Source organism: Homo sapiens, chromosome 13, assembly GCF_000001405.40.
Source record: "Homo sapiens chromosome 13, GRCh38.p14 Primary Assembly".
Taxonomy (NCBI): Eukaryota; Metazoa; Chordata; class Mammalia; order Primates; family Hominidae; genus Homo; species Homo sapiens.
In genome coordinates, this window is record NC_000013.11 from 90,228,868 (window position 1) to 90,243,475 (window position 14,608).

Genomic DNA, 14,608 nt, shown 5'->3' on the forward strand with positions numbered 1-14,608 from the left:
GCCCGGATTACAGGCGTGAGCCACTGCACCTGGCCCATTTCCTTCTTGGTAAATTGATATTGTAGATCAGCTCATTCTGCCATTACTGCTATTCTCATGCTATGACATAGGCAGGGAGCATATATCCAGACAATTTATAACAGAAGTCAGGATTAAAAACTCAAGAATTTTCTTCCCAGAATTCATTGACTCAGTTACTACTATTCCAGGTAAAATTTAGAGTTAATGTACAGTTTGACTTCTTTTCAGCCCATTCTACTTCAAAGAATAAAAATTAACATTCACAATTTGGACATTAACAATTTGCACATTCCCTATCCATAGAGAATAGGAATAAAGACAAATGGATTAATTTGTTTCCAAAAGCAAGTTGCTTGCAGAAATTCACATTGCTCCTACTATTTATTTATTCTTTCAAAAATTCTCATTGAGATCCAACAAGAGCCAGAAATTATGTTCAGCACAGGTTATGAAATGACAAAGTATCAACTATACCAAGAAACCTATATCAGGGCTGCACATTTTTCTCCTGGGTCCACAAGTATAGTAAAACCTGACAGCACAATGTGGCAAGTGTTAGGACAGAAATATACATTTGGTACTATGAAGGTACTGAGGACAGAGAACTAAATGTTCTGGAGCTGGAAAGGAGAGGCAAGGGTGGTGAGTGGTACCATTAAACCATTTTTGGTGGAACAGATGAAAGCAGCCTTGGTCTTTAGTAAACCAAAATTGTCCTGAGTTTATGGCTTAATAATAATATATTCTCAAGAAAAATTTCTCACAAACCCATGCTGTATACATCTATACAAACACAAAGGAGAGATATATTAAAAGTATACATGAATTAGAAGATATTGGAAGTTAGTTAAAGTAACTTTATTCAGCAGTCAAAACATTATAGAGTTCGTTAATATGAGTATTGAGTAGCACCCAGGTTGTTTCCAAGTTAGATTAAGGATGTTGTCTTCAACTTGTGTTTGTACCTTTCTTCCCGTAGCAATGACATATTATCATCAGTAAGACTACAAAATCTTTTGAAATAGCTGGGTTTAAACAATACCATGTTAAAACACTCACATTGAAATATCATTTCCTATAGTTCCTCTTCCTCTTTACTTCTACTGATACCTACATATGAACCAATCCCTTGTTTTGTTATCTCAGAGTTAAGAGCAACATTAATTTAAGAGAAATCAGGTAAAACAAACAAACAAACAAAGGCCTATCGACAATTTTTTGGTTGACTTGAAAATTTTGTTTGTTGGGTTGGTTGGTTTTTGGAGATGGAGTCTCACTCTGTCTCCCAGGCTGGAGTGCATGCATTGGCGGGATTTCTGCTCACTGCAACCTCCACTTCCCAGGTTCAAGCGATTCTCCTGTCTCAGCCTCCCGAGTAACTGGGATTACAGGCATGCGCCACCATGCTCAGCTAATTTTTGTATTTAAAGTAGAGACAGGGGGTCGTTGGCAAAGCCTGAGTCCTGTCCTCTCGCTCTCCTCCCCAAACAGCATGAGCTTCACCACTCGCTCCACCCTCTCCACCAACTACCGTTCCCTGGGCTCTGTCCAGGTGTCCAGCTATGGTGCCCTGCCAGGCAGCAGCGCGGCCATCGTCTATGCAGCCGCCAGGGGCCCTGGTTCCCGGATCTCCGTGTCCCGCTCTACCAGCTTCCTGGGCGGCATGGGGTCTCGGGGCCTGGCCATGAGGATGGCGGGGGATTTGGCAGGAATGGGAGGCATCTAGAACGAGGAGACCATGCAAAGCATGAATGACCGCCTGGCCTCCTACCTGGACAGTGAGGAGCCTGGAGACTGAGAACCCGAAGCTGAAGAGCAAAATCCTGAAGAGCAAAATCCGGGAGCACCTGGAGAAGAAGGGACCCCAGGACAGGGACTGGAGCCATTACTTCAAGACCATCGAGGAACTGAGCGCTCAGATCTTCGCAAATATTGTGGACAATGCCCACATCGTTCTGCAGATAGACAATGCCCGTCTTACTGCTGATGACCTTAGAGTCAAGTATGAGACAGAGCTGGCCATGCGTCAGTCTGTGGAGAGTGACATCCATGGGCTCTGCAAGGTCATTGATGACACTAATGTCACTCAGCTGTAGCAGGGAGACAGAGATCGAGGCTCTCAAAGAGGAGCTGCTCTTCATGAAGAAGAACTAGGAAGAGGAAGTAAAAGGCTTACAAGCCCAGATTGACAGCTCTGGGTTGACCATGGAGATAGAAGCCCCCAAATCGCAGGACCTCACCAAGATCATGGCAGACATTCGGCCCAATACGATGAGCTGGCTGGGAAGAACCGAGAGAAGCTGGACAAGTACTGGTCTCAGCAGATTGAGGAGAGCACCACAGTGGTCATCACACAGTCTGCTGAGGTTGGAGCTGCTGAGATGACACTCACGGAGCTGAGACATACAGTCTAGTCCTTGGAGATCGACTTGGACTCCATGAGAAATCTGAAGGCCAGCTTGGAGAACAGCCTGAGGGAGGTGGAGGTCTGCTATGCCCTGCAGATGGGGCAGCTCAATGCCATCCTGCTGCACCTGGAGTCAGAGCTGGCACAGACTCGGGCAGAGGGACAGCGCCAGGCCCAGGAGTACGAAGCCCTGCTGAACATCAAGGTCAAGCTGGAGGCTGAGATTGCCACCTACTGCAGCCCACTGGAAGACGGGAAGAACTTCAATCATGGTGATGCCCTGGACAGCAGCAGCTCCATGGAAACAACCAAAAGTCCACCACCTGCAGGATAGTGGATGACAAAGTGGTGTCTGAGACCAACGACACCAAAGTTCTGAGACATTAAGCCAGCAGACGCAGGGTACCCTTTGGGGAGCAGGAGGCCAATAAGAAGTTCAGAGGCAAAAAAAATAAATTAATTAAAAAAATAAAGTAGAGACAGGGTTTCACTGTGTTGGCCAGGCTGGTCTCGAACTTCTGACCTCAAGTGATCCACTCTGCTTTGGCCTCCCAAAGTGCTGGGATTACAGGCATGAGCCACTGTGTGCCATGACTTGAAGATTTTTCTGATAGAACTGCTTTTTTACAGAATATGTTATTTCAACTATTTTCCTTAGTCAAAAAGATGAATCCCATAATAACTGAAGTTTAAAATGTATGGATATTTTTTGAACATAGAGCCTACACTCAAGTTTTATGTAATGTTCATTCATAAAGAGCTCACAGATCTCTGTTAAAATTTTGAAATTGATCAAACACAATCAACTTTATTATTATTAAAGATTATAATAAAATGCCAATCATAACAAATTAATTTTTGATAACTACTAGTCAGCTTTGTTTGAAATGATTTAGGATTAGTATTTAACTAATCTCAAACTAAGTATGAGCTTGTTGATTTTGATGTTTGAAAACTGCTTACTACAGTTTGCCTTAAGACAAAATAAGAAAAGAAACTTGGTTAAACCAGAGAGAATGTTAAAAATCATGACCAGGGAAGTTTTATATTTGAAGGCTTTTATAAAATATTTACCCACAAACAAATACAATGAAGGGATCACAACATTACAACACTTAGATTCTTCAGATGCCAATCTCAGTCAGAGCTGCCCTAGGCCTCTCTCAAGAGAAAGTTACACATCAAAGGAAAGGTGATAAAGTTCTCATCAAATAGTTAAAAAACTCTGCAATTCTCCTTGACTTTCCATTCTCAAGATGGTTTAGAAGTGATTGAAATAGGTAACATTCTGTCCAAATAGTGTTATGTGAAAGGAATTTCTAAAGGAAACCTATCTGCTGCCAACAATTTGCCCACATAGTTTTCATTTGGTCTTTGTATGTAGCATCATTATTCAAGTAATATTTATTGATTTATGAACATTCTTAATTGGCTAGATTCTCTATGAGTTATAATTAAGAAAATATAGTACCTCACATTAAAAAACTTTCTGAAACCAAAATTTTTATTTTTAAAAAATATATAATTTTCAATAATTGTCAGATTATTATTGTACATTATTTGCCTTCAAGTGTTGAGTATTAAGAAAATAAACAAATGGGCCGGGCGCTGTGGCTCACACCTGTAATACCGGCACTTTGGAAGGCCGAGGCGGGCAGATCACGAGGTCAAGGGATCGAGGCCATCCTGCCCAACCAACATGGTGAAACCCCATCTCTACTAAAAATATAAAAATTAGCTGGGCGTAGTGGCGCACGCCTGTAGCCCCAGTTACTCAGGTGGCTGAGGCAGGAGAATTGCTTGAATCCAGAAGGCGGAGGTTGCAGTGAGCTGAGATCGCGCCACTGCACTCTAGCCCAGGCAACGGAGCGAGACTCCATCTCAAATAAATAAATAAATAAATAAATACATGTTATGCCATTTCAAGTTTGTTTTTTATATCTTCAAAATGCTGGACAATTGTGTATATTACCTGGCTGACTGGCTATTTTATTCAAGCACTTAAGAAAATTACAATACAGTTGTTTATCACATGCACCTTCTCCATTGGTTCAGGTGGGTTCTTATAGTTTTTCTCTTCTGTGGAAAGAGATGACTGCAGACTTGATTATGACAGAATCATACTTGCGTGGGAAATAAGGTTCTCCAACTCCATGAAAAAAAAATATTTTTCTTCCTAAAATCTAGCTATGTAAAAATTTCTTTCTTTCTTTCTTTCTTTTTTCCCTCTGTCACCCAGGCTGGAATGCAGTGGCAAGATCTCGGCTCGCTGCAACCTTTGCCTCCCGGGTTCAAGCGATTTTCTTTCTTCAGCCTCCTGAGTAGCTGGGATTACAGGCGCGAGCCACCACGCCGGGTTAATTTTTGTACTTTTAGTAAACACGGGGTGTTTCACCATGTTGGTCAGACTGGTCTCGAATTCCTGACCTCGTGATCCACCCACCTCGGCCTCTCGAAGTGCTCAGATTAGAAGCTGAGCCACCGTGCCTGGTCCTATGTAAAGATTTCTAAGAATATTCTTGCTCTTGGATTTGGAATGTAAGAAAACTTAATGTATGGGGTTATTTCAATATTAGGAGAGACTTAATACTTACTAATTTATAAAAGCTTCATCTTTTTAATTTTCTGAACCTAATTACGGCACCATATTTATGGATTAAATAAGAGAAACAAAACAGCTTAAAATTCACACTCTTATAATGTCTTTTTTTCCAAACATTTTAGTTCTATATTAGCACGTTCAATACTGTAGCATCTTCTTTTTAAATAAAAACTTCTGTTAATATAGTGGCTATAAGTAACACTATACGCCTGGCTATTAGACTAGAACTAAGATTACATTCAGAATTAACTGGCATTGAATATCCAATATACCAGTATATTCACTACTAGCCCCAGTGTTATCTCAGAGAGAAGTGCCTTTTTGAGAAATAGGTTTTCATGATAACAAACCCACAATATTTTAGTTTAGAGAATCATGAAAGCTGAACATACTTTTAATCATGTTGAAGTTTAGAAACAGATAAATGAAGACTAAAATCTAATTCCTGATATCAATAGGAGTTTAAGAGGTAAAAATAATTACACAACATCTTTATCAGTTTTAAGATGATATATCAATAAATAATGGGATCCATTCTATCAGCCAGCCTCCAGAGGCCGCTGTACGGTTCCTACCCAGAAAGCCAAGAAAAGTATACTTCCATCCACTGAAGCAATTTACTCGACTGTTGCCAAAACTTTATTCTAGGCTGTGTCTGGCAGCTAATAAAAGCAGTTCTTTCTGTACACAGAAATTCACTGTATTTCTTGGGCTTCACGTTGCTAGTCAATGGTTATTAGAGGCTTGCAAGCATGTTGTGTATGGGGAGCAAAGGAAGCTGAATACGAGGTAAAGTCAAAGGCAGTCCTTCAAGAAAACCGTACAGTTTTCTTTTATTTTTTTTTAATCACTGCCAACAGTGCTCCCTTTCAGGGTGGTTTATGTTCACTGTATTTTTTTGTTCCATTTCTTGTTGTTAGGTAGCTATTCTCCATTTATTTTTCTCTTTGTTGTGTCGTTTTTCTTTCTGATCAGTACCTTAACCTCTTTTTTCCTATATATTAGGCTCTCTGTAATAATCTTATTTCTGCTTGTAGATAACAATGTTTTCAGATAGTTCTGAATTTTCATGTTTCCAACCATGGCTTTATTTGTAAATTACTTTTTCATTTATTGAGCACAATTGTACCACATCAAACTCCAGAATAGCTCTCCCTCAGGAGTTAACAATCCCCTGATGTCTTGGTGACTTTTCTCTGAAGACAATGAGTCACCAGAAATACCCAGTTGAGCGCATTAGGTACTAACTCCATGATATCCTACTTCTCTTTTTACTAATATCTTCGCCAGAACCCGGACTTTCTACTCCCTTTTATACCAACCAATTCTAACGCTCATAATGTTTTATACATCCCAAGTCTGAAATATATGGGCTATCATTAGCAATTCCCCTTAAGCCTTAGTCAGTTTTCTGAATGTTCCCATTACTTCTCCAAATAAGTGAGTTTCTGATAAAGACACCGTCTTCTCTGCAGCTTTTTCAGGTGGACTCTTTTCTTTCCTCTCCTAACTCAATAGCTCAGGTCTTAGTGGTGAGGTGTAAGACTCACACTGTTCTTCATTACCACTTTCAAATCATTTTTCTATCTTCTGCCTTAAAAACTCACAAGTCATTTGACCCAGATGTCCAACGATTATGCCATGCCATATTTCCCTATGTAGTTATCATCTATCTCCTGATCACTCTCCTCATTTTTTAAAAAATCGAGTCCTTCTTCTATTATTAATCTTAGTGATATTATCATCATTCCCATGAAAGATTATTCAAAAACTTTTCTTCTCAGTTCCTTAACCTCTTAGAATTTAATAACATTTCTCCAACTTAGCTCAGCCATTAACTCCCATGGCCACCCCTATTGTCAGTACTAATGTATCAATTCCAGTCCTTCAAGTTCTTGTAAATTCTCTGACTATAGTACCCCTGTCCTTGCAATTTTACAACTTCTTCCATACCACCAAACCATTAGTCCTACCTTTTCAAAAAAATCAATTTTTCATGTTTCCTTAAGGAAACGTGTACAATATAAAAATTTTAAAAGAAATAAGGTACTCAAATCCTTCCACTTAAAGGGAGCAATTTTGATTGATTTTTCTTCCTTTATCAATTATAATGTTAGTTTTTTGTTTCTGTTTTAGAGATGATATATGATTACTATTATGAAAGATGAGGCTTTAACACTAATGAATTCGCCAGACATAATGTGAATACCCCCAAAATAAAAGTTCACACTTTTTGTTAAATCATTATTCAGCACTAACATTCTATGATTATGGAAATATTATTCACAGATCATAGAGTATATAATTTACGTAATAGTATAGGTTCACTCTTCTCTTCTACAACATTGTTTTTCTTCTTCTTCTTCTTCTTTTTTTTTTTTTTTTTTGAGATGGAGTCTCGCTCTGTCCCCCAAGCTTGAGTGCAGTGGTGCAATCTCGTCTCACTGCAACTTCTCCCTTCTGGGTTCAAGCAATTCTCCTGCTTCAGTCTCCCGAGTAGCTGGGACTACAGGCACTTGCCACCATGCCCAGCTAATTTTTTGTATTTTTAGTAGAGATGGAGTTTCACCATATTGATCAGGCTAGTGTTGAACTCCTGGCCTCGTGATCTGCCCGCCTCGGTCTTCCAAAGTGCTGGGATTACAGGCGTGAGCCACCGTGCCCAGCCTGTTTTTCTTTTTAATTCATTTCATGCATACTGCCTCCCTAGTAGCTAGATTGGGCCATGTACCAAAATCTGGCCAGTGAAATTCAGTGAAGGGTAGTGGGTAACCCTGTAGAAATGAAGTTTAGTGAAAGTGGATGTGAGCCCTCTGCAACCCCATCCCTTGCTTCTCCCTGCCACAGGGATGATGAAGATGATGGCTGGGACCCGAACAGCTAATTTTTGTGTTTGATTTCTGTTTTGTTCTATTTTAGCACTCTTTCTTTGATAAATGCCTTTCATCATTTTAATCTTTTTTTTTCTCCTCTTTCTTTTTCTGTCATCTAGCTTATTGGCAGAAGAACTCTTATCCAAGGATTCTGATGCTCTAAATTTAGTTTATCTTTCATACATTTTTTGAAAATTTGTTGGTACTGTTGTCCCATTTCCAGATTTCCTCCACCTTATTCTCCAGCCCTCTCATGAAATTTAATGAGTTTTTATTGAAGTAGTAATTTTGTATGTGTAGAGCTTCACTTAACACTAAAAGGCTGAAAACTGAAAACATTTTTCTCTTAGAGATTAGAATTGTACCTGAGTAAACAAATAGAAACTTGTGAATAGTTCATCACCAGCTGTGAGATGGTATTTTGCACATATATGTGATAGGTTTGAGTGGATGACCATATGCAGCTTGATATTTGGGTTCATATGTCATCATAGAAAATGCCAATTAAGGGTTAAGCTCTCTGGCCAGGCACGGTGGCTCACACCTGTAATCTCAGCACTTGGGGAGGCCAAGGCAGGCAGAGTTTGAGGTGAGGAGTTTGAGATCAGCCTGGCCAACATGGTGAAACCCCATCTATACTAAAAATACAAAATTAGCTGGGCGTGGTGGTGGGCGCCTGTAATCCCAGCTGCTTGGGAGGCTGAGGCAGGAGAATCACTTGAAACTGGAAGGTGGAGGTTGCAGTGAGCAGAGATGGCGCCACTGCGCTCCAGACTGGGCGAAAGAGCAAAACTGCATCTCAAAAAAAAAAGAAAAAAGGGTTAAGCTCTCCCATCTCTTTTCCCATGAAAATATATTTTAAAGTCACATTACTATATGCACTATTATGTATTTCTTTAAGAAATAACTTTGAATTTTAGAGCTATCATATCAAATGATAACGAGATAACTCATATTAATATTTTAACTATGGTATTAGAATTAAAATATACATACATTGGTTTTAACATACATTAATGCATTTTCTAAACAAGAAAAATTAATACTGTATCATTATAGTTCACATGACAATTTAAAAAAATTCAAATTTGAGTATAATATTTTGTATTTCTATATATTTTACATTTTTTATACATAATTTATCCAAAGTACTTCACAGGAGTGTTATGTCATATTTTCTATTTGATTAAATAGAAAGCAATAGAAGAAATAATACTTTTGTAATTGTTAAAATACTATTGTATGTATAGCAATAAATGTTTTCATTACAATCCATTTTATTTTGTGTATTTACATAGAAGATATCTCTGAGATACTTTAATATAGCTAAAAATTGAGGTTGAAATCTTAAAATGTACTATCAATGAAATAGCATTTTATGTTAAATTGTATTCATTTGCATTTAATTAGATGTCTTAGATGTAGTTTTTAGTAATATGAGACTGATGAAAAAAATGACATGATATATTCACAGTCTTTGGAAAGCATAAATCTTTATCTTGTGCAAGAAAATAACTGGACTTTTGTGGTATTTATGAGAATATGATAAGAGCTATGAGCATTTGTAAGAAGCAAAATATGGAACAAATATCTTTCATTACCACACTTGTAGATTTTATCAACCAAATGTTAAAATCTTAAGTTGATTCCAGGAAGAAAGTACTGCTAAAGAACTATTTACTTACTAGTAGTAGAGACGGATGGACATCTTGAACAAAGTCCTAGGTTTGTGCCAAGAAAAGTTTTCTTTGTGGTCAGAAGGAAGTTAATAGTAAAGACGTTAAAAGCCTCCGGGGTATGTCTTCACTGCTTCCTCATTTGCATACTCTGACCAGCACTGCTGGATGCTGGAAGAGGACACCTCAGACTCCCGCCTTCTCCCTGTGCAGCTGTCTTATCTACATATCTGTTTCATGAACTCTAGCCACCTTGGTAACTCTGACCAACTTTGCCTGCTCAGTTCAGGGAGTCTGCCAGGCTTGGCCTAGTTACTTGCTTCCTGTTATGGTGTAAAAAAATCTCAGGACTAGCAGCTGGAACAATTGTAGGATTTACTTTGTTGAGTTCTGGTCTTTCAGGGCTCACTGTCCATTGTTGGCTGATGTTTAGTGTCTTGAAAACCGTTGTTTCATGTATTTTTACTTTTTTTTAGTTGATTGATACAGTAGTAAACATCTTGGTCTGAAGTAGAACATTTGTTTGATTATGTCTTATTTTTCTGTCTTTAATAGACTATTTTGGGAGAAAATGGGGGAAATACAGGAAAAAAAGGGAAAAAAACTCTAATAATGTTTATTGTACTTGTGCCATTACTCTCCCTATCATTTGACCATAGCACTATCCAGGAGAGGGCTGTAAATATCTTATTTCTTCCATCTCCCTAATCCTCTTCACTTTCTTAGTGTTATATTTCATGCATTCATTGATTTATTCAACAAATACTTTTTGAATCTCCTTTATGTATTTGGCAAGGTGAGAAGGGCCTCTTACCAGGAGATTCCTCTGATAATTTTTACATATGCCCCTCAATGATCTTGAGAAGACCGTGTCTGTGTTTACAACTACATTTGCGATGGAAGGGGGAAATTAAAGTACAAAAACTAGGGGTGGCATTGTCATATTTGCATTGTAGAAAGATAATTATGGGTGCAATATGAAGTATGTGTTAATAGGTCAAAGATGCTTAGGAAAGAAATCAATAGGGAGGCTGTTAAGATGACCCAGTTAAGAAATATTAAAGGCCAATATTCGGGCAGTAGTAGCAAAGATGAATAAGAAAATACACATGCGAAAATTATTTAGAAGGTAAAATTAAAAGTACATGATGATTTATAGGATACAACATAAAAATATTAGGGAGAAAAAGATTTCAAGAAGGGCTCCACTGTTTCTATCTTCTTAGTATTTTAACTATAAGTAGGCCATCAAATATTTAATTAAAATATGAGAATGATTTTCTAATCTCTCTTACTCTAGTCCATTTTTGTATATGCGGCAATAATCATTATAGCCATCATATGAAGGTTTGAAAAGATAACTTGGGTAATATATCAAAAAATATTAGTACAGTGCCTAGTACATAAAAAGTGATTCCATATTTTAAATATTGATACAATGTATTATTTTCCTTGTTAATCGAATAGCATTATAGTTATACTTTTTAGATATGCCTTTAAGTCACTTTCAAGCTATGTTGATTATTTGAATATTTAGGCCCCTCAGTAAGGCATGGTGATTAATGTAAATCAAAGTAAAGTTTGCGTTTTGGTTAACACATTTCGATTTGTTAGTTTGAATCAGTTCTTCTGAATCAAATTATCTCTATATACTCTGCTCAATTTAGGTTTTTAGAACTATAAAGTTGAAGCTAAAATAGACTAAGATGACCTACCAAGGTACTCTGAATGTTACTTCTGTAAACTAAATAATAGATTTTTCAGAAGCCATATTTATTTTGTTAATTGCAACTATAATGACATTAACAACTCCTAGAGAATCTTAGGATATGGAACCAAGACTCATTAGCTCCAGTAAAGAATTTAAAAAGCTTTCTTTTCCCAGACACTACTATTGTTCAATAATCATATACATACAGTATGACATAATGAGGACCTCAGTGAACTCTCTCTCTAAAACTATAAAAGTACTAGCAAAACAACCTAAAACCTGCCATAGCAGAACTCTAGTAATTAGAGTGATCCTAGAGAAAATATTGAATGTAAGTATGACAGCAAGATCTGTGGTTCTACTCGTATCACTCCTTTTTACCCCAGATCAATGGCACAGTAGCAAAAATACAGAAGTACTGCAGACAATGAGATTTAACCTCTTCTGGAGTTCCCTTCAAAGCATCACTCCCAGAGCACAGACAATATTTTGTTTGAACTTGGAGATTACTACAAAATCTCTAATCTCAGACTGTGGTGATGTTTTGTATTTAACTCAGAGAACTCAGCTCTGCTGCACAGTGGGGGATGAGAATAAAACATTCAACAATAATAGTTGAATATTTCAGCAACCCACTTTCAATAACAGATGAGGTAACTAGGCAGAAGATCAACAAGGAAATGGAAGACTTGAGCAACATTAGAAACCCCTAGACTTGACAGACATGTATAGAATACTACACCCTACAACAGCAAAATACACATCCTTCTTAAGTGTATAAAATCATTCTCCAGGACAGACCATATGCTGGACCACAAAATAAGCCTTCATAAATTGAAGGGATAAAAATTATACAAAACTTATGAGAAATTATAGAAATCAAGGCAAAGCAATACTGGCATGAGAATAAACATACTGATCAAAAGAATGCGATTGAGTTTACAGAAATAAACTCATACTTATGGTCAACTGATATTCAATTGACTATAAATCAATTGAATATAAATTGACAAAGGATGCCAAGACAATTCAATGGAGAAAAAAGTAATATTTTCATACATAGTGATAGGACAAATGAATATCCAAATCCACAAGAACAAATCTAGACTGCTATCTCATCCTACAAAAAAATTAACTCAAAGGTGTATATAGACACAAACTAATTGTCAAAATTATAAAAGTTATACAAGAAATCATAGGGGTAAATCTTCATGACCTCAGGTTAGGCAGTGATCTTTTAAATACAACACCGATAGCACAACTGGCAATATAAATAAAAAAAGATAATTTGGATTAATCAAAATTGAAAACTTTGCCCATCAAAGGTCATAATCAAAAAGTGAAAAGTCAAGTGGAAAAATGAGAAAAATCTATTTTAAAATCACACATTTGACCAAGGCCTTGTATCTAAAATACATAAAGTAATTCTATAACTCAACAATAAAAACAACAAGTAATGAAATGGGCAAAGGATTTAAATAGAAATTGCTAAAAGGAAAAAAGAAAGAAATACAATTGGCCAATAAACACATAAAAAGATGCTGAACATCATTAGTCATTAGGAAAATGCAAATTAAAACCTAAAGGAAATACCACTTCTCATATGATGGAATGCTTAAAATAAAGGAGACAGAAAATAAGAAGTGTTTGATGAAGATATGGAGATATTGGAACCCTTATATATCACTGGTAGAAAGTTAAAATGGCATAGCCACTTTGAAAAACTTACAGTTCTTCCAAGAAATTAAACACAAATTTACCGTATGACCCAGAAATTTCACTCCTCAGTATATACCCAAAATAAATGAAAAGTTAGATACATAAAAAAAGTATAAATAAGAGTACATAGCAGCATTATTCATAGGCAAAATATGGGAAAACACAAAATGTTTAATATCTATTAATAAACATAACATGTTATATCATGCAATAAAATATTACTTGACAATAAAAATAATGAAATATTAATACATACTACGATAGAGATGAACCTTGAAAATGTCGTGTTAAGTGAAAGAAGGCTGTCACAAAGACCACATCAAGAACAATTTTATTTACGTGAAATACCAGTCTAAGTAAATCCAGAGACAGAAAATAGATTAGTGGTTCTCTGGAGCTGAGGCTGGAAGTGGGTTCTTGAATGAGAGAGTGCAGGATGTGAAGCCAGGATGGAATATGGCTGCTAATGTGTTTGGGGCTTTTTGGGCAGCAGGTAAGTATTCCAAATGTAGATTTTGATGATGGTTGTACACTCTTTGAAAATGCTAAAAATCATTCAACTGTGTGTTTTAAAGTGGTGAATTTTATGATATGTGTAATATCTCAATAAAGCTATAAAATAAAAATATGCATTAAGCAACTAATTGAGTATGCTATTTCATTCATTTAGCAAATAGAAAATTAAAATGGATAGTTTCTCCCATGGAGAAAGCACAATAATAATACTGAAGTAAAAGACAACTGGAAAACTGCCACAAATTCAAGAGACTACATACAATTTCTTCAAACATTTTCAGTCTCCTTCTGTCCTTAAAACTGCCTTTCAACCTTTTGTACCCTGGATAACATCTGATGCATAACAGTAGGAGTTTCATAAATTATTCTGATGAATGAGTATATTAATTTGTTTTATGGAAAATGTATTTGTTTTATGTTACACTATTAATTGCTATGTTGAACTTGACATTTTGATGAAATTCCATGCATTCATTTAATTTTCAACATGCTTATTCTTTCTTTTTCTATTTGACTTTACGTCTGCTTAGACTACTACTTTATCTCACTGTAAACAATTACTGTTATTGGGCCTTATTTTATCGTTGCTAATAAAAATTTATTGAGCATCAAAATCATACATCTATTATATACATAATATATTATATAATATATGCAATACATGATGTTATATATAGTATGTAATATATGTATTACATATATAATATATTGTATAATATATATTATTTGTATATTTTTATTATATATTATATATTATTTTAAAGTCAGTCTTTTTGTTGTATCAGTATATTGTTGTGATTTAAAAATAATGATCTCACGCATCTATCACTTTGGAGTATGTGCAGAATAAAATTTTTCCCATAAATACATGCCTTTTTATATGCATTATTCCTTAGGAACTTTTGTTTTTGGCTAAATATTTAAAAACATTTCCAAAACTTTTTCAATTGCTTAATACTTTTTGCTATCTGGAGCAGAATGACGATGATGCTCAGAACATAGGGTTAAAGTGATATGCTTCCTGCTTTAAATGATCACCTAAACTCTGTGCTTTGTTTTCTGTATAAATTTCTTTTCTTTCAG

General features: G+C 36.2%; 1 non-coding gene and 1 pseudogene across 1 annotated transcript; both read left to right on the forward strand.

The window, feature by feature from the left end:
• On the forward strand, positions 1,464 to 2,870 carry KRT18P27 (keratin 18 pseudogene 27; annotated as a pseudogene).
• MIR622 (microRNA 622) lies at positions 2,315 to 2,410 on the forward strand. Its single transcript, NR_030754.1, has one exon. It is a non-coding gene; the product is annotated as a microRNA 622 (primary transcript).